The following is a 19,917-nucleotide window of genomic DNA, read 5'->3' on the forward strand; positions in this document are numbered from 1 at the left end:
GTACTTATCCCAGAGAAATAAAAACTTATGTTCTCACAAACACTTTTACAAGAATGTTCATAGTTGCTTTATTTGTAATTGCCCAAAATAAGAATCACCTCCAATGTATTTCAATAGTTAAATGACTAAACAAACTGTAGTGTACATATGTATGTGGATGGATGGATGGATGGATGGATGGATGGATGGATGGATGGATAGATGGATGGAGATAGATACATAGACACATACACACACAACTTGGAATAGTACTCAGCAATGAAATGGGATGAACTATTGATACATGCCACAAGTTGGATAAATCTTCTAGGAATTATTTTGAGTGAAAAAAGCCAATCACAAAGGGTTATAGAATGTATCACCCAATTTATATAACATTGTTGAAATGACAAAATTTTAGAAATGGAGGGCAGATTAGTGGTTACCAGGGTTTGGAAGAAGGTGTGTAGTTTAGTCATAAAGGTCCACACAAGGTACCCTCGTCGTGTTGGAAGTGCACAGTATATTGACTGTGGTGGTGGATACACAAACCTACCTAGATGATAAAATTGTATTGAGCTAAATAAACTCACACAAATGAGTTCAACTAAAACTATGGAAATCTGAGTATTATGGAAGGATTGTATCAATGTCAGTATCCTGGCTGTGACATTATACTACAGCAGAATACTGACTGGCTCTCTCCCTGAGGGGCTTGGGCTCTATTGAGATTTGCCCTGACCAGCTATGTTTTGCTTGCTTTATCCCTTGGTATGAATTGAATTATAGCAAGCACAAGGTTGTCAGCAGTCTCCGCTGCTCTCACAATGAGAAGTTCAAGGCACAAACAAGAGCTTAGCAGGGTGATGATAAACCATGAGGATGATAAAGAAACACTTTGAATGGCGAGATTTTCCTTAAAGGCTCAAAAGAAGCACTGATTGCTCCTTGAATTCTCAACCCACATACCAAGCATTTGAAACACATCCTCAATTATTTGAAATCAGTATATTAATCCTGGCTTCCAAAGAGAAATGAAAACTACTTAATTAGCATTCCTTTCCAAGTGACTTTTCCCATCTGTTACACTTTAATTTGGCTGGAATTTTGTGTGTTAAGACACAGAGTGAAGACAAGTTAATTATGAAATCGCTTGATGCTACATTTAAAGATCTGTTGAGGTGTGAAATGATTCCCAGGCCTCAGATGCAATGCTGAGTAATGGAGTACCCAGAATAATCATAATCTGTAAAGACTTAAAACCAAAGAAACCCAAGGAAGAAAAAAGTTTGATGTGGCAAATTAATTTACTTCAATTCCCAGCAAAATTAAATTTCATTATGTAAATTTTTTCATTAGCAAGACAGAAAATAGAGCTGTTTGTATAAATCTGCAGTGACTCAATATCCTCCCCTTAGTTCTCCCATATTCTTCCTTTTACTTTTCACTTCTATCCATCTCCTCCTCACAATTGCTAGAAGACATACACATGCTTATATCTCAAGGAAGGAAGGTCTGTTCACTCTGTGCTCTTTGAATACTTAATTAGACTGCACTCTATCAAAGACTTAATTAGACTGCACTCTACCAAAGAGTGCTGCCACTGGGTAATTCATGAGTCTATCTTGGTGTTATTTTGCTTCCCTTTAACATCCATTAATTTGCCGATGAGCGCCTCCCTGTCTTCGGTCTGGCAGTGGACAGAGGCTTGCTGTCACATTTTCAGGAACTTCCCACTTCACTACTCGGCCTCATTTACCTGTGTCCCCAGAAGGCAGATGTGTGGAACGAATTCAGGGTTTCCACATTAAAGCATTCCCGTGACCCAGTCTCTTCTTCCCTTAAAAATGACAACAAAGAGCAACATAAGAAGGAAACAAGAATTAATAAATGGTAGCTATATATGCGTTAGATGGAGAAAAAAATAGATTCCATTTGTCATTTTAAATTATGATGCACAAAATGAAAAGGCTTACTTTACCTTGGAGTCCAAAACAAGAGAGGCATCTCTATCAGGCAGCAGCAGGAGTGTAGAAACAGAGCTAGTGCTAGACCCCCAAATCTATGGTCCCGTCAAATGAACATTTATTCAGATTTAGTCAAATTTACACATTTATTCAAATTCTCCCACTGGCAGTCATATATAGTACAGGAAAATCTATTCCAAAAGCTCAGCACATCTTATAGCCTTAATTTTTTACAAAGTTAATACATGTTCATTTTAAAAAACTGGAACAAGATAGATGATAAGTTAAAGATAGATGATATATATTAATAGATGGATGATAGATAGAAATAGTAGCTGCAAAGTGTAGGCTATCTACTGTATCTGGCACTATTGTCATTGATTACTACATTTAATTATCACAACGACCCTGTGAAGTAGAATATTCCTGATGTTCAGATTTTTTTTAAGCAATTTTAAGGAGTAAGGTGTTATGTTACTCAAAATCTTATAGTTAACAAGTTACAGAGCTGCGATGTGATCCTTTGCATTGTGTCTCAAGATCCTGTAATGAATGACAAGTATGCAATACAGACCTGGACATAATTGTTATTAATAGGGTCATTTCAGATCAGTCCAGGCCTTTTTTTTTTTTTTTTTTTACAAAAGTGAGATCATACTTATATAATACTCAGCAACTTGCTCTTTCTCACTCAGCAATCATAGATAACCTTGCATGTCATTCTGCATACATCTCCTTAATACATTCATGCTTTGGTTAACAACTTTCCTGCTTAGCAACATACCTGAAACTGTGCCACTGTGTAAAATCATTCAATTGAAAACGATATTTACATCAATTTTAGTGAGAAAAAATATAATTCCTTTCCACCCAACCTAACCTTTCGACCCTATTTTTCTCTATTTTCATGGAGAAAAATAGAATGACAATAAAACCAAGCTCATATAAACAATAAAAAACAATTTGAAGGAAAATAAAGTCAGTTTTTCCTAAATGAAATAAATGTAATAATGCAGTGAAGCCTTAGTGGACTCACTAGGAAGGAAGAGAGTGTGAGTTGTGTGGTGAAGGAAAGGCACAGGGAGTCATTTATAGAAAGTGGAGGGAGTACAGCAGTTAACTTTCAGCCAAGGGAGCAGTATCTCATACCAAGTGGAGTGGGCTGCCATGAAGGATGGCAGAACCTTTCATTCCTTTTCCTTCTTCAGTCCTCTTTTATCACAACCCATCTTTTATTTCATGCTTAAAGTTTTTCCCGCTTTTCTTTCTATAACATTTACTTTTTCACTTTTTGAGACAATTGGGGGCTTGGGATTATCTTTAATTCAATTCATAAAGTTGCAACACAGAATGTTTAAGGCACAGAACACAAGAACACTTGGAAACAGTGCATGCACGTAAAATGCCAGTCATAGAAATTGCTGTCTTTATCCCTCTTGGTCTTGGAAAATGTCTTGGGTTCATACAAATATGACAGCAGTTCAAATCTGTCCCACATCTCTTCTCTGCATAGAAACTGTGTTGAGAAAATTTCTGAGTGTGTTCTTGTCTAAAATAAAAAATATTATTTTTAGATTATATTTAGTTTGTATGTTTTCAGGTGAAAGCATAAACAAGAAGAGTCATCGAAAAAGTGGTATAAATTACCCCAAAAAAGTTATGGTGAAAAGTTACTAATTGAAAAATCATTTTACAGTAAGTCTATGATTTTGGTAACTTATAAAATTACATATAGTGAATAAACTATAAACTGTTTAACCAGTCCTTATTAATGGATTTTTAAATTAGCATGATTTTATACCATTGCAGATGATATTGAAATATGTGCTTTCTTTCTTTTTTTTTTTTTTTTTGAGATGGAATTTCGCTCTTGTCACCCAGGCTGGAGTGCAGTGGTGTGATCTCAGCTCACTGCAACCTCCACCTCCCAGGTTCAAGCGATTCTCCTGCCTCAGCCTCCTGAGTAGCTGCAGGCACCCACTGCCACACCAGCTAATTTTTTGTATTTTTAGTAGAGACAGGGTTTCACCATGTTGGCCAGGCTGGTCTCAAACTCCTGACCTCAGGTGATCCACCAACCTCGGCCTCCCAATGTGCTGGGATTACAGGGGTGAGACACCACAACCCGCTGAAATGTGTGCTTTCTTAAACTTAGCTCCTTCTGCATGTGTATAAGTATTTCTTTGTATGGATTCCCCAACATGGAATTGCTGAATTATAGGACATACATGGATAAAATTTTAATATATTACATCAGATTACTTTCCACAAGGTAACTATATTTTACATTTCCTCCAATGGTATGTGCAACTGGTACCTACTTTTCTATAACTTTGCTGATTCTGAAAATTATCCATTTGAAAAATTTCTATAGTCCTGGTGGGTGAAACTTTTTACTGTTTACTGCTGATGATAAACATCATTGTCAATTTCATTACCACCTGTATAAATATTCTGCAAATATATTTTCTCCATTTTTCTACAGACTTATTGGTTTTTTGTTATCCATTTATTGGAACTCATTTGTCCATTAGGGATATTAATATTTTGTAACATATTTTGTAGTTAAATATGTCATTGTTTTCTTTATGGCAGATCAGTTTCTTTTCTTGCTTAAATAGGGTGCATTTACCATCATTAGTTTATCACAAAAAGGAGCCAATATTTTTTTCTACTGTGGTTACAGTATTCTAATGTATATTTAGATTTATCTGAAACTTATTTTTATTAAGCTATGTATCATAGAACACACTAGTGCCCACCAATATCTGATTCACCTCTCCTGCCTAGGCATCCAGAGATAATACTTCCTGATCTCTAGGCAGATTTTAAAAAGGACTTTTTGTCTAGTTGTGGCAAATGGATATGAATAGATGTGATGCATGTGAGACTTCCATGGTGGAGCAGAAAACAGCTCCTTTGTGATTTCAAATCCTTTGTGTATTAGTCCTGTCTCACACTGCTAATAAAAACATATCCAAGACTAGGTAATTTATAAAGGAAAGAGGTTCAATTGACTCACAGTTCAGCATGGCTGGGGAGGCCTCAGGAAACTTACAATCATGGCACAAGAAGCAAGCATATCCTTCTTCACATGGTGGCAGGAAGGAGAAAAATGAGTGCCCAGCGAAGAGGGAAGGCGTTTATACAACCATCAGATCTCGTGAGAATTCACAATCACAATAACAGCATGGGGGAAAGTGTTCCCATGATTCAATTATCTCCACCGGCTCCACCCCACGACACGTGGGGATTATGGGAACTACAATTCAAGAAGAGATTTAGGTGGGGACGCTGCCATTAGCCTCTTCAAAATCTCATGTCCTCACAATTCAAAACACAATCACACCCTTCCAACAGTTCCCCAAAGTCTTAACTCATTCCAGCATTGACTCAAAAGTCCAAGTCGAAAGTCTCATCAGCGACAAGGCAAGTCCCTTCCATCTATGAGCCTGTAAAATCAAAAGCAAGATAGTTACTTCCTAGATACAGTGAAGGTACAGGCATTGGGTAAATACCAAAATTCCAAATGGGAGAAATTGGCCAAAACAAAGGGGCTACATGCCCCATGCAAGTCTGAAATCCAATAGGGCAGTCATTAAACCTTGAGGTTCCAAAATGATTTCCTTTGACTGCAGGTCATACATCCAGGGTATGCTGATGCAAGAGATGGGCTCCCACAGCCTTGGGCAGCTCCACCCCTGTGGCTTTACAGGGTATAGCTCCCCATCCTGGCTTCTGTCTCAGAATGGCATTGAGTGTCTATGGCTTTTCTAGGTGCACAGTGCAGGCTGTCAATGGATCTACCATTCTGGGATCTGGAAGACAGTGACCCTCTTCTCACAGCTCTACTAGGCCGTACCCCAGTGGTGACTCTGTGTGGGGGCTCCAATCCCACATCTCCCTTCCATACTGCCCTCGCAGAGGTCCTCCTTGAGGGCTCTGCCCCGGCAGCACACATCTGCCTAGACATGCAGGTGTTTCCATACATCCTCAGAAATCTAGGTGGACGTTTCCAAAGCTTAATTCTTGACTTCTGTGCAGCCACAGGCCCAACACCATGTGTAAGCTGCCAAGGCTTGGGGTCCACACCCTCTGAAGCCACAGCACAAGCTGTAACTTGGCCGCTTTTAGCCACAGCTGGAGTGTCTGGGATGCAGGGCACCAAGTCCCCAGGCTGCACATAGCAGGGGGCCCCGGACCTGGCCCAGGAAACCATTTTTCCCTCCTAGGCCTTTTGGCCTGTGATGGAAGGGGCTGCCATGAAGGTCTCTGGCATGCCCTGGAGACATTTTCCCCATTGTCCTGGCAATTAGTGTTTAGCTTCATGTTACTTACGCAAATTTCTGCTGCTGGCTTGAATTTCTCCCCAGAAAATGGGTTTTTCTTTACTACTGCATTGTCTACCAGCAAATTTTTCAAACTTTTATGCTCTGCTTCCTCTTGAATGCTTTGCTGCTTAAAAATTTCTTCTGCCAGATACCCTAAATCATCTCTCTCAAGTTCAAAGTTCCATAGATCTCTAGGGCAGGGGCAAAATGCCATGAGTCTCTTTGCTAAAGCATAACAAGAGTCACCTTTACTTCAGTTTTCAACAAGTTCCTCATCTCTATCCGAGACCACTTCAGCCTGGACTTTATTGTCCATATGACTATCAGCATTTTGGTCAAAGCCATTCAACAAGTCTCTAAGAAGTTCCAAACTTTCCCACATTTTCCTGTCTTCTTCTGAGCCCTCCCAACTGTTCCAACCTCTGCCTGTTACCCAGTTCCCAAATCACTTCCACATTTTAGGGTATCTTTACAGCAGCACCCCACTCTACTGGTGCCAATTTACTGTATTAGTCCATTCTCATGCTGCTAATACAGACATACGCAAGACTGGGTAATTTATAAAGGAAAGAGATTTAGACCTCTCACAGTTCAGCATGGCTAGGAGGGCTCAGGAAACTTACAGTCATAGTGGAAGGGAAAGCAAACATGTCCTTCTTCACATGGCAGCAGAAAGGAGAATAAGTGCCCAGTGAACAGGGAAGCTTCTTATGAAACCATCAGATCTCATGAGAACTAACTCACCATCATGAGAACAACATGGGGGAAACCACCCCCATGATTCAATTATCTCCACTGGGTCCCTCCCACAACATGTGGGGATTATGAGAACTACAATTAAAGATGAGATTTGAGTGGCGACACAGCCAAACCATATCACTTTGCTTCTCCATTGGCAGCAAATGTGGAGACCACATATTGAAATGTCAGAACTATGAGATCCGAGCAGTGTGGATCTCCAAATCACATTTGGAGGCCAATAACTGTGAAGATTCACCTGACCTACAAGGATTTTGTATAAATGAAAAATAAACAATTTGTGTTTATTCACTGAGCTCTTCCAGGTGTGTTATTAACCTTTTGTTATTAAGATAGGCTTCATGTATCCTGGCTAATTTAATAAAATATGACTTCAAAATAAACAGTTGATAGGCAGACAGACAGACAGACAGATAGACAGATAGTGAGATAGCATTTTCTTCCAAAGATAGTTGAACCCAAACCAAAAACTTTAATATCATGAATTTAATGCTGAACAAAATGAAGACACCACAGAATGCATATTGGATGATTTCATTAGTATAAAATTTGAAAACAAAACCATAGTGTTAGAAATTAGAATAGTGGTTACATTTAGGAATTAGAGAGTTTCTCGGGGAATAAAAGTAGAAATATGAGATGATGGTATTAATCTATTTTTAAGTGATGATTATATGAGTTTTACCCATGTTTACCATGGTTTTAAAACTAAATATATACGGTGTCATTATATATCCTACAAAATCATTTTTTTCACTTAGATATATGTTATAGGTATGCTGATATGCAGAGATTTCATTAGATTTAGTTCATCCAAAATTTTAGCTTGCCAAAATTTTAAACTTTATTATGACTTCTTTTTGACTTAGGTATTATACAACAAGGCAAGTAAAATTTACTTTCCAAGATTTTTTCTTCACTAAGCTCTTTCATATTCTAGGACAAATTGGCACTACTTTAGTACAAAACTATTCTTTTTCCTTAAAAACAGTAGCATAACCACACTTGTATTTCTCTGTCACTATTGTTCCTAATACAGTCTTTATTGTAAATTTTAACCAAAATAACTGACTTTCATCTCTCAGAAAAACCTGCAGGGATGTATAATTGAAGACTGTTATATATCAGCATTTTAACAGACTAGCAAGGCTCATGAATACAGACAGCTCAGCTTTTCCTGATATGTTGAAACAATTTCCCTGCTCACTGCATTGTCTGGAATTCTACTCATTTCCTCTGGGCTTTTTTTCTTGTATTAGTATTTAATAAGTACACCCTTCACTAATGATTTCAGTGAGAGTCCACAGTTGCAAGCTTCCTCAGACCTTTTATCACCCTTGAAGGAGAGTTTGACCACGAAGGGAACTCTGGGGAGATGGTTGAATTCCTATGGCCTTTTAAGGATATTACTTCATTGACTTTTGCCATCCATTTTTGCTGATAAGATGCCTGATGTCAGTCTAATCTTGATTGTTTTGTATATAACATGATTTTTTTCTCTCTCTGGCTGCTTTTAAGATATTACCTTCGACCTTGTTCTGCAGTTTCATTCCAATATGTATAGGTGTGAGAGCATTTCTGTTTATCCTGATCAGCACTCAGTATGTGCTTTTAATCTAAGAAATTAGATCTCTGTTTGCTTCTGGAAATTTCTCAGCTGATACCTCTTCAAATAGTGATTTCTTAGGCATTCTCTCAAGTGTCTAGTGTCTGAATTTCTGAGATACATGTTGGAGCCCCTCTTTCTATTCACCGTGACTGTTAACATCTGCTTCATATATATTTGATTTAGCTTGCCATGCCAAGTTCTAAGTAAATTACTCGTTACTACTTCGCTAAATTGTCCTTCAGTTATGTCTAGTTGAAGTTTATCCTCTCTTGAGGATATTTTCTTGACCATCATTTCAAAATATTTACATGATTTACAATTAGTTCTTTTCTATATGCACCTATTATTATTCTTTCTATTAATTTCACAATTTCATATTTTAATTTCATACTTTCTTGTTCTTGTTTATAACTTCTTGATCTTGTTGCATATGTTATTTCTGCACTCACAGTGACAAGTTGTGAGCCCTAGAATTAGTTCCCTAACTTCTCTGTCCTGTATCCCCATTTGTGAGATGAAGGTAATAGTAGCTACTTTATAGTTCTATTGCTTTTATCAAATGATATGATACATGTAAAGTTCTTAAAACAATGTCTATATATTAAACACAATTATGATTATTATTTGAGACAGAGTCTCGCTCTGTTGCCCAGACTGGAGTGCAGTGGTGCAATCTTGGCTCACTGCAACCTCTGCCCCCTGGTTTCAGGTGATTCTCCTGTCTCAACCTCCCGAGTAGCTAGGATTACAGGCGTGTGCCACCACGCCCAGCTAATTTTTGTATTTTAGTAGAAACGGGGCTTCACAATATTGGCCAGGGTGATCTGGAACTCCTGACCTCAGATGATCCGCCTGCTTCAGCCTCCCAAAGTGTTGGGATTACAGGCGTGGGCCACCGCACCTGGCCCACAATTACGTTTTTGTATTATTCAGAGTGTTCTATTACTTGCATCTCATTGACAATAAATTGTCGGGTTTCCATGTTGATTTTGTTGGATGTCTTTCTTAACAATATTTTTCCTTGATAGCCATAGAACTTCAGTTTGCAGGCTTAACTTGAATGTAAACACTTTCGCCCTCTCTCTGCCTTCACTATTCCCCGTGTGGCACTGCTGTTTTAGTTTCCTTCTAAGTGGTCCCAGGTCTTATCCTGTCAGCTTAGTGTTCCTATCCAGAAATTATACCAGAGAGATCAGAGGTCTGTGCTTGGAGGGGGCAAGTGGCTTGTCCCAGTTACTGGTTGTACCACATTCTTCCTCCATACCTTAGAGCTTCCATAAGTCATAGCCCTCGACAGTGAGCAGGCTCCTGTCTAAGCCTAATAAGATGTCGCATGAAGGCGTCTTTTATAGGAGGAAGAATTCCACCCCAGCCTGTAACTTGGGACAATGACTTTGGCTTATATTCCCTACCTCTGCAGGGTGTGTTTGGTCTCTATCATGCCACAGAACTCAAATGCTTGTTTCTGTTCCTCTAAGAAAATATGTCCACAGATTCCGCTCTAGTTTCTACTGTGCGTTTCTGTTCCATTTCTTTCAAAGAAAATCTAAATTTTGAGTGGGAAACATTCTTTTTATTTTAATAAACTTCTTATCCATTTATCTATCATTTCTAATTATTTGGTGATTGGGAGGAAATGGTAGTGGGGACGTGTGGGAGTGCAGTAGAATTTAGCTTAATGCAGCTAAAAAGTAAATGCTAAACACCATCTTGACTAAAAAATACTCAGAAGCTTGTGACTAAGGACTTTTCTTTGTGCGGAAAAAAAAGAAAATTCACACCAAGAAAAGAAATGTTTCATTTCATGAAGCTAAAAATCCTGACATCATCCCAGAACTATATGAACCAGGGTTCTGCTAACAGCATTAGATGCAAATGTGCATGACTTACACACTTGTTTCTTGCCATGTTAATGATTTTCCCCTTTCAGTTTTTTATAGGACTTGGTTACCTGAGACAGTTAACATGATCCTTTACTGAAGATTATTGAGTTTTCCTTTTATAAACAAAAAACTGCTAATTGGCATAATGTTCTACAATGAATTTGGTAGGTCATTTGAAATTGCTTATACATTAGACTTTTCGTTCCTCCTATGTTTTACATGTAAATGAAGTTTTAGGTCACAAAATGAAAAAAAAAACTCTGTTCTTTACTGAGCACTAAAACAACTTAATAGATAATAATTAGACAAATGGGGCTTATGACAGCAGTTTATTAGAGAGAGGACTGAATTGAAAAGCATGAATTGATCTATATCCACAATCAGGTTACATAAAACATCCAACTCCCACTGAGCCTGCCAGCAGCAAATCTCGGGCCTTCCCCTTGCAAGGGCAGAGTGTACCTTAGTAATCATGCTAAGATGAGCAGAGCATGGGGCTTCCCAGAGACAGGATACACATCGAATCTGAATGCACTTCATTCTGAAGAAACAGAGCCCAGCCTCAGCTGAGTCACGCACTCCGATGCAAACTCCTTCTCCCGAATTTGCCAGTCAACTCAATCCATCCTCCCCCAGTGAAGAGAATGTGAGGAGGGGAGAAGAGGGACGATGACTCAGGTTGGGTTTCCTCAGAAACAGACTCAGACAGAATTTAGGAACAAATGATTGATGAGGGAGATGATTCCAGGAAGCACTGGCAGGGGAATGGAAAGAAAGGCACAGCAGGGAAGAAAGTCAATGCAGGCATCTACTGGCAAGTTACTACTGTGGACAAGTGGGGCTCCACCTTGCTGGGACCCCTGCATTACTGTGTGGAGCATGTCTTAACATTGCCCCACACACTAGCAGAGGCAGCTGAAGTACTGTTCAGCCAACCCTTTCCTTTGCTGGAAGAGAGCTGCTCCTGGAAGCTATAACTCACCAGTACTGCTAGGGTGTCCCAATCAGGTGAGCAGGCTCCTGTGGCCAGAGGAAGCTCCCAGGTAGAGAATCACAGTTGTTTGTAGAAAGAAGCAGGAGTACTAAGCAGAACAGGAAGTACTGTGGGGTATCAGTGGGGCATGGGCAGCTTCTGCCAGGCACAGGCAGCTCTCCCTGGTGCTTCCCAAAAGATGAAGTTCCTATATTATGGGTCAAGATAGAACATCAAGATCTTAACTGTGACCTCTCCTGTATGTCAATTTCTGTGAATCAGGAATTTTGGCATAACTTAACTGAGTGGTTGTAGCTTGGGATCTCATGAGGTTGTGGTGAAGACATTGGCAGGAGCTACAGTCATCTGAAAGCTTGACTGGGGCTGGACAATCCATTTTCAAGGTGGCTCACTCAGAGGCTATTGCCAGGAGCCCTTGTTCCTTACCACAGGAACCTCCCCAGAGGGTTTACTGTCCTCAAGACATGGCAACCAGCTTCTTCTGGAGCAAATGATCTAAAATAGAAAAAGAGAGCAAGCAAGAAGTCAAAAGTTCTTTTACCAGCTAATTTTAGAAGTCTCATACATCATTTCCTTTGTATTCTGTTTGCTAAAAGCAATTTACCAAGACCAGTCTATACTCAAAGTTAAGGGAATTAGACTCGACTTCTTAAAGGGAAGAGTATAAAAAAGTTATAGAAATATTTTTAAATTACAGCAGGTGCCAAGCACCCTTGATATTCTAAAGTGAGGTGCTAGGCATCACTTGCAACTTGTATGAGACATTAGGTGGAAAGGTCCAGAGAACTTATCTGAAGTTAGTTTTTGTGTTGTCTGAATCCTTGCAACATAGGGAAAGGGATGAGTGTGTTTGCCCCCACCCCGCTGCTTAAGCCCAAGTGAGAGGGGTTTGAAGGAAACTCTTGAGAGAGTTTGGCCTGTATGTTCTGGAATATGGAGACCATGTGGACTAAATTCTGAGAGATATCTGAAAAGTCAAAAGGTGAGAGGTCATGTGCACAAGCCCCACATAGCAGAATGAGAGGCATTAAAGAGCAAGTTTCCTCTCACCTCAGCAGGGAAAAGGACAGAGATTTTCAGAAGTGTGAACACTGTGAGGTGCTGACTTGACATCATCTGGAAAAAAGACTCACTCATAGGAAATGCCTGGAGCCACAATATGACCCCATCTTAGTCAGCTTGGGCGGCTGTAACAAAATACCACAAAGACTGTGTGGCTTGAACCACAGAAATTTATTTCTCCCAGTTCTAGATGCTGAGAAACCAAGATGATGGAGGTGTCAGAAGATCAGATGTGGTGAGGACCTGCTTTCTGGTTTTCAGATGGCCATCTTGTCATTGCATCCTCACATGGTGGAGAGCAGAGAGGGAGAGCAAGGAGGCAAGCTCTCTTGTGTCTACTTCTTTTACCTCTCTATTCATTTGACTTCATTCGCATTTTATTTTTTCCAGCTTTACTGAGTTATCATTGGCAAACAAACATTGTATACATTTAAGGTGTACAACGTGATGTTTTGACATACATGTACGTTGCCTAGTGTATTAGTCCGTTCTCTCATTGCTGTAAAAAAATAACTGAGACTGGGTAATTTATAGAAAAAAAGAAGTTTAATTGACTCATGGTTCTGTGGGCTGTACAGGAAGCATGGCAGCTTCTGCTGCTGGGGAAGCCTCAGGAAACTTCCAGTCATGGTGGAAGGCAAAGGGGGAGCAAGGCACCCACATGGCAGGAGCAGGAGCAAGAGAGAGACAGAGGTGGGAAGTGCTGCACACTTTTAAACAGCCAGATCTCGTGAGAACTCACTCACCATCTGATATGGTTTTGCTGTGTCCCCACCCAAATCTCACCTTGAATTATAATAATCCTTACATATGAAGGGTGGGGCCAGGTGGTGATAATTGATCATGGGGATGATAACTGATCATCAGTTTCCCCCATACTGTTCTCAGGGTAGTGAATAAGTATCATATGATCAGATGGTTTTATAAATGAAAGTTCCCCTGCACAACTGTCTGTCCTGCTACCATGTAAGACATGACTTTGCTCTTCCCTCATCTTCTGCCATCATTGTGAGACCTCCCCAGCCATGTGGAACTGTGGGTCGATTAAACCTCTTTCCTTTATAAATTACCCAGTCTCTGGCATGTCTTTATTAGCAGCATGAGAACAGACTAATACACCACCACAAGAACAGCACCAAGGGGATGGTGCCAAACCATCCATGAGAATCTGCCCCCATGATCCAATTACTCCCACCAGGTTCCACCTCTAACACTGGGAACCACAATTCAACCTGAGATTTCGTGGGGATACAGATCCAAACCACATCACCAAGTGATTGTCACAATGAACTGAATTAACATATCCATCACCTCTCTTGGTTACCTTTTTATAATTTGTGATGAGAATACTTAAGATCTACTTTCTTAGAAAATTTCAATTATATATTAACTATAGTCACCATGGTACACATTAGACCTCTAGAACTTATTCATCTTATAACTGAAAAAAATGTGTACCCTTTAACAGACATCTCCTCATTTCCTCCAGACCCCCAGCATTCCTGGCAACCACCCTTCTGCTTTCTGTTTCTGTAAGTTTGACTTTTTTAGATTCAATGTATGAATGATACCATACAGTTTTTGTCTTTCTGTTTCTTTTACTTAGCATATTTTCCAGGTTCATCCATGTCATCAAATGTCAGGGTTTTCTTCTTTTTTAAGGCCGAATAATAGTCTGTTACATATATACAATGCATTATATACATATATATGGAGAGAGAGAGCGTGCTTGCACATTTTCTTCATTCATTCATTCATCTCTTTTATGAGGGCACTAATCCCATTCATGAGGACTGTACCTTCATGACCTAATTTATTCCCCAAAGCCCCACCTGCAGATACCATCATACTGGGGAGATTTAGGCTTCCATATATGATTCTTGGGGAAAATAGACATGTAGTCCATAGCAACTGTTAAGAGATGGGTGGAGTACTGTGAGTCCAATGGCTGAGCTGGCCATCACACCCTACTGCCAGATGACAGGCAACACACCTTTCCCACTTCCAGGGAGCTGCAGGTCAAGGACCACCAAAGATTCACAACCAACATCCGACAGGAGAGCTTTGACCATCTAGTTGGCCAGAGGGCACCAGCACTGGATGACATGTGTACCAGCCTCTAACCCTGCACGCTTTCTCCAGATTCATCTGTCACTCTGGACCTAATTCCAGAGGAATTTTTATAAAGTAACCATCAAGTTAGGAAAGATGTGTAGCCAGGAAGTAGGGAGAAAGCCAACTGTGCCTCCAACCTCCCCGCCAGTCTCTTGGGCCTGGTTAGGCCAATGCTAGGGGAAGGAAGAAGCTTGGCATCATATGAGCATCCAGAATTTGTATTATAACAGTGGAAGAATTATGTAATAATTAGACTGAACCAGGCTAATAATTTATGGCAAATGAAAGGATATGTGTGAGTATCTAAGACCTCATCAAAAGTCCCTAGCATCCCCCAGGGTAGAAAAATAACTGTCTTCCAGAACTTTAGCCTTTATCTGACAAATCCAAAGCAGTAAGTAAACCAGCTGTATTTGAAACGTTAGCTAGGGAGAGATTTGGATCTTTAGAATTAGAAAGCAAACCTTTGTGTAGTGGGCAATAAGATATATTGCTTTGTGCCAGCTTTGGGGGGAAGCTCTGTTATTAATTCTATTTTGAATATGGAGACTCTAATAATGAGGAAAGAAACCATGCTAGTTGTCTGTGAAAATTGATGAGCTGAAATCCTGGAGATAGAATTCCTTGAGAGCCAACCTAGTCCTACCCTGTGACTGATTTTCCTTCTGGGCATGACTTAATCACTTGGCTTCTTTATAGCCATATCCTGGCCCAGATGGTTACCACGTTTCACTGTATGAATCTTATACCAATTTGCAAACTCATTGAATTTGCATTCTATCTGTGTTGGTTAATATTTGAGTGTCAACTTGATTGGATTGAAGGATGCAAAGTATTGTTCCTGGGTGTGTCTGTGAGGGTGTTGCCAAAGGAAATTAACATTTGAGTCAGTGGACTGGGAGAGGCCGACTCACCCTCAATCTGGGTGGACACCATCTAATCAGCTGCCAGCACGGCTAGGATAAAAGCAGACAGAGGAACGCGGAAGGACTTGACTTGCTGAGTCTTCTGGCCTTCATCTTTCTCCCATGCTGGATGCTTCCTACCCTCAAACACTGGACTCCAAGTTCTTCAGCTTTTGGACTCTTAGACTTACACCAGTGGTTTGCCAGGGGCTCTAAGGCCTTTGGCCACATACTGAAGGCTGCACTGCAGGCTTCCCTGCTTTTGAGGTTTTGGGACTCGGACTGGCTTCCTTGCTCCTCAGCTTGCAGATGGCCTACTGTGGGACTTCACCTTGTGATCATGTGAGTCAATACTCCTTAATAAACTCCCATTCATATATACATCTATCTTATTAGTCCTGTCCCTCTGGAGAATCCTGATTAATACACTGTCCTTCATTTTTCTGTTGGTTCCCTTCTTGCTTACACTTATTTTAGAAGCCAGTCTCTTCCCATATACTTGGAGAAATAGAAACTTTTCAGAAAAGGTCTGAGAAAGATATTATTTCTGGTCTCAAAGAGTTCACCTTCTAGTTAGAGTGAGAGACTGGACTTGCCTAGACTTCTCACATATGTATTCTTGTTCCTGAGCCTCTTAGGTGGGTTTGTGTCCTGCTTTCTGCAAGTACATCGCAACTTGGTCTCTGCCTCAGTCACCCCAGGGAACTCTGAGTTCCATATGCTCTGTGTGCACAGCAAGGACCTCTGTGTGCACAGCAAGGGCCTCTGTGGGCCTGACTCCCTGAAACAGGGGCAACACTGCCATCCTCTTCTTAGTCAGCTACATGAGTTCAACTACTTCCCCACTCTCTGCCTCCTCCCTGTCCTTCTGTCTTCCAAAGGGAGAATTTTACCAGACCAGTTCCAACAGTAAACACAGGTCCCTTTGAAGCATTTTCCCATCAATGTTGGATACCTTGGCTCATCCCCTTCAGCCTATCCACTGAGTGGTCCACCTCTAGTTTGGTGACTGCTTTTATTGTATGGCTAACTTTTAGTTAGTAATTAATTCATTAATCACAATTGTTTTCTATATTTGTCATAAAGGATTATTCATCTGTGTTTTTCCCTTCTCAGTCTTCATTCATCCATTCATACAGTCACTCACTCATTCATTCATCAGAATTCATTACTGAGTTCCTCCTTTTGTAAGGTCACACCCTACAAGCTGGGGGAGACAGAGATGAAGTCAGTGGTTCTGTCTCGGCTTATGATTATAGTCACCTGAGAATCTTCAAAAAAGAAAAAAAAAAAGATGCATTGCCCTGGCCCCATCTCCAGAGATTCCAAATGAATGAGTCTGGGGCAGCTCCTGAGCATCAGTGATTTTTAAAAGATTCCTGGGTGATCTGAAAGTGCAGCTAAGACTGAGGACCATGAGGAGATGAGGGCACGAATAACATGGATTAAAATGAAAAGGCAAGGCTATCCTGAACACTTCAGAGGGACTGCTCTCAGGAAAGCCTCCCAGCAGGCCTGCACCCTTGGCCTGCACAGGACTGACAGCCCTTCTATCTCTGCTCAGCCCCATTGACCACAAATTTAGCCACTGCTCAGGCGAGAGATGTGGCACATCTGACTCAAACTGAGCAAAGAGAAGACGGTAGCATGACTAACTTTCTCTCAGCTGAACAATAATGGTACCACCTTTCTCGAGGGAGTGTGCATTTTGAGAAACTGTGCGGCTGCCGCCCACCCAAGCTCAGGAGTCCCAACGCTTGGGCAGAGAAGATTTTGAGGCAGGTCTAAATGTCTCTAAAATTTGTATGGCTATAAAAAAGGAGGAGTTCATGTCCTTTGCAGGGACACGGATGAAGCTGGAAACCATCATTCTCAGCAAAATATCACAAGAACAGAAAACCGAACACCGCATGTTCTCACTCGTAAGTGGGAGTTGAACAATGAGAACACATGGACACAGGGAAGGGAACATCGCACACCGGGGCCTGTTGGGGAGTGGGGGACTGGGGGAGGGATAGCGTTAGGAGAAACACCTAATGTAAATGATGAGTTGATGGGTGCAGCAAACCAACATGGCACATGCATATCTATGTAACAAACCTTCACGTTCTGCACATGTACCCTAACACTTAAAGTACAATAAAAAATAAATAAAATAAAATAAAATCTGTATGGCTAGGTGAGGGTAATAGCTTACACTTCAAGGGAGGCCGATGTAATTCTGGAGATGTGACAGGCGGTTGCTGAGATGTTTAAAGGAGTAAGCAGAAAAGAAGGAAATTGAGGACATCCCGGCCTTCTCCGGGTCTTTCTGCTTCTGTGACAGGATGTAGAGTTAAAATCATGAGAGGACTGCAAGCCCTGCCCCTTCACATTCCTCCAAGCACTGAGAAATCCTATCTGGTCCCCTTCTCTGCTTTGTCAGGCTGAGGCCTGGCCTCTCTGTCCTGCAGGTGCACGGGTGTAAGAAAAGGACTGGAGCCCGTGTGAATAAACTGCTGAGAATCAGCCCTTCCTCCCATGGAAATCATATATTGGCTGGGGCTCCAGGGTATGCTTTGTGCTCCAGCGGTAAGATTTATTTCTTTTCCTTCTCTGTAGAAAATTCCCCTCTCATGGTGGCACAGGGAGAAAATAATGTCCTAAAAGTGGAGACAGACTGGGGCAAGCAGATGGCTGCGAAGGCGCCATTTCTCTGTGTGTCCAGCAGGGGGCGCCGATGACAAGCGCGCGGGCTGCGAGGCCGCACAGACTCTTACGCAACGATGAGGGCGCAGGCTCGCGGGCCAAGGATGCTGACGCAGGCCTGAGTCCGGAAAAGACCCGCACATCTGGGGCCCAAGTGGCCCATTTCCCCAGAGGCGAGCAAGGACTCTCAGGAATCGTCATCCTTCCCATGAAATCCTGGAAACTGCTTAGTTGAGTTTCTGGTTGACTTGCGCTGCGTGCAGCTGGCAGCTGCCGGTGAACCCAGTGACACTGGTTCAGTGCTCATGTTTGTTTTCCAAAAGGGGCTGCCCTGATTTTTGTTTTTTTAAGACTAAATAATAATAGTCATCATAGGCACCCTTTTCTGAACAGCCCCTCTATGCCTTCCCGGTGCTAGGGGTTTGATGCTGATTGTGTATGTTCCCCTGCTGTGTGTGTTTCATCCTCTCATCCTGCAGCAAGGAGCCCCACCAGTGCCTCCCATCAGACCTCCCTGCTGTGTTCAATGCAACTTGCTTTTAAAAGGGAGCCAGGGAGAAAGGGACGGAAGGAGGGAAGAGGAGAGGACACCAATCCCTTCCCAGATTCATTCTACCTGTCAAAGCGAGAGAAAGCTTGTGTTTGGAGAATGAACAGGAAACGATGTTATTTGATTGTCTTAAATCAGTTTCATCTTGCTGTTATTTTACTGTTTAAGGCTTCTGTTTGTTCTGTTTCGTTTTGTTTTCAATTTCCCTCAAATGCGTCAGTGATCTCTAGAATATTTCTGTATTCTAGAGAAGATTTGTGCTTAACAGGGAGAGAAAAGGTACAATGGGATTATTTCTGGTAAATAAGGCTGCTTTTTTAATCCCTTTGCTTTCTTAATTTTGTTAAAAGAAAAATTATGAAGTTATTTTTAAAAGAATTATAAGAATTCAAAACCAGGCTTCCTTCACTGAAGACATGTTAACTTAAAAATCTGGAAAATATAGATCTAGAAGAAAAAGCATAAACTGCACTTACAATCTCTTAGCCAAGCAATAATTGTTATTTAATTTAGTATATCAAGTAAGGATCTTTTTCTAATATTCTATATGCTATACTAGAAAGTGTTATAGTATTATACATAGATTAACAATCTATTGTTTTCTTTACTTAAAATATTTTGATAATTTTAAATATTTGCGCAGTGTTTATCATGTGTCATATAAATGTAACAAAATACATTCAGTTAATTTAATAAGGATGGATATTAAAGCTATTTTCACTATTTTTTTCTGTTTTTCTATTGTAAACATCACTAGGTCAATAACTTTTACATACATTTCTATTTCCTTGGGAAAAATCTCTAAAAGAAAAATTGAAGATCAGTGGATATTTAAAGCTACTCAGCATGTATTTGCAAATGGTCTTCTAGAAGCACCGAGCCAATTTGCGTTTTCACCAATGGTTAGGAGCCAATACCAGTAGAGTTCCTTTTCATGTGCTTTGACAATTTTATAGGTTGCAAATAGTATTTTATTGTTGTTCTAATTTGCATTCTTGTGTGTTTTTCTCTTGAATTTTTCAGACTCCTTTAAGGATCTTTCCAAAGGTCTTCAATTTTGATATAAGCAACAAAG

At 40.6% G+C, this 19,917-nt stretch overlaps 1 long non-coding RNA gene across 1 annotated transcript in view, besides 1 other annotated feature; it reads right to left on the reverse strand.

The window, feature by feature from the left end:
• Positions 1-2,073: 2,073 nt before the first annotated feature.
• Positions 2,074-19,917, reverse strand: part of STXBP5-AS1 (STXBP5 antisense RNA 1) — a 363,227-nt gene continuing 345,383 nt past the window's right edge. Inside the window, exons 9-11 of the long non-coding RNA NR_034115.1 lie at positions 11,511-12,017; positions 5,005-5,398; positions 2,074-3,495 (exon numbers count right to left, since the gene is read on the reverse strand). This is a non-coding gene — a long non-coding RNA (STXBP5 antisense RNA 1). The remainder of the gene's footprint in view (positions 3,496-5,004; positions 5,399-11,510; positions 12,018-19,917) is intronic.
• Positions 18,458-18,617: an enhancer, noted in NCBI's record as "active region_25232". NCBI's record gives its function as "activates an Ori minimal core promoter by ATAC-STARR-seq in GM12878 lymphoblastoid cells {active_cell/tissue: GM12878}" and the evidence as "EXISTENCE:reporter gene assay evidence [ECO:0000049][PMID:35858748]".

Source organism: Homo sapiens, chromosome 6 (genome assembly GCF_000001405.40).
Source record: "Homo sapiens chromosome 6, GRCh38.p14 Primary Assembly".
NCBI lineage: Eukaryota > Metazoa > Chordata > Mammalia > Primates > Hominidae > Homo > Homo sapiens.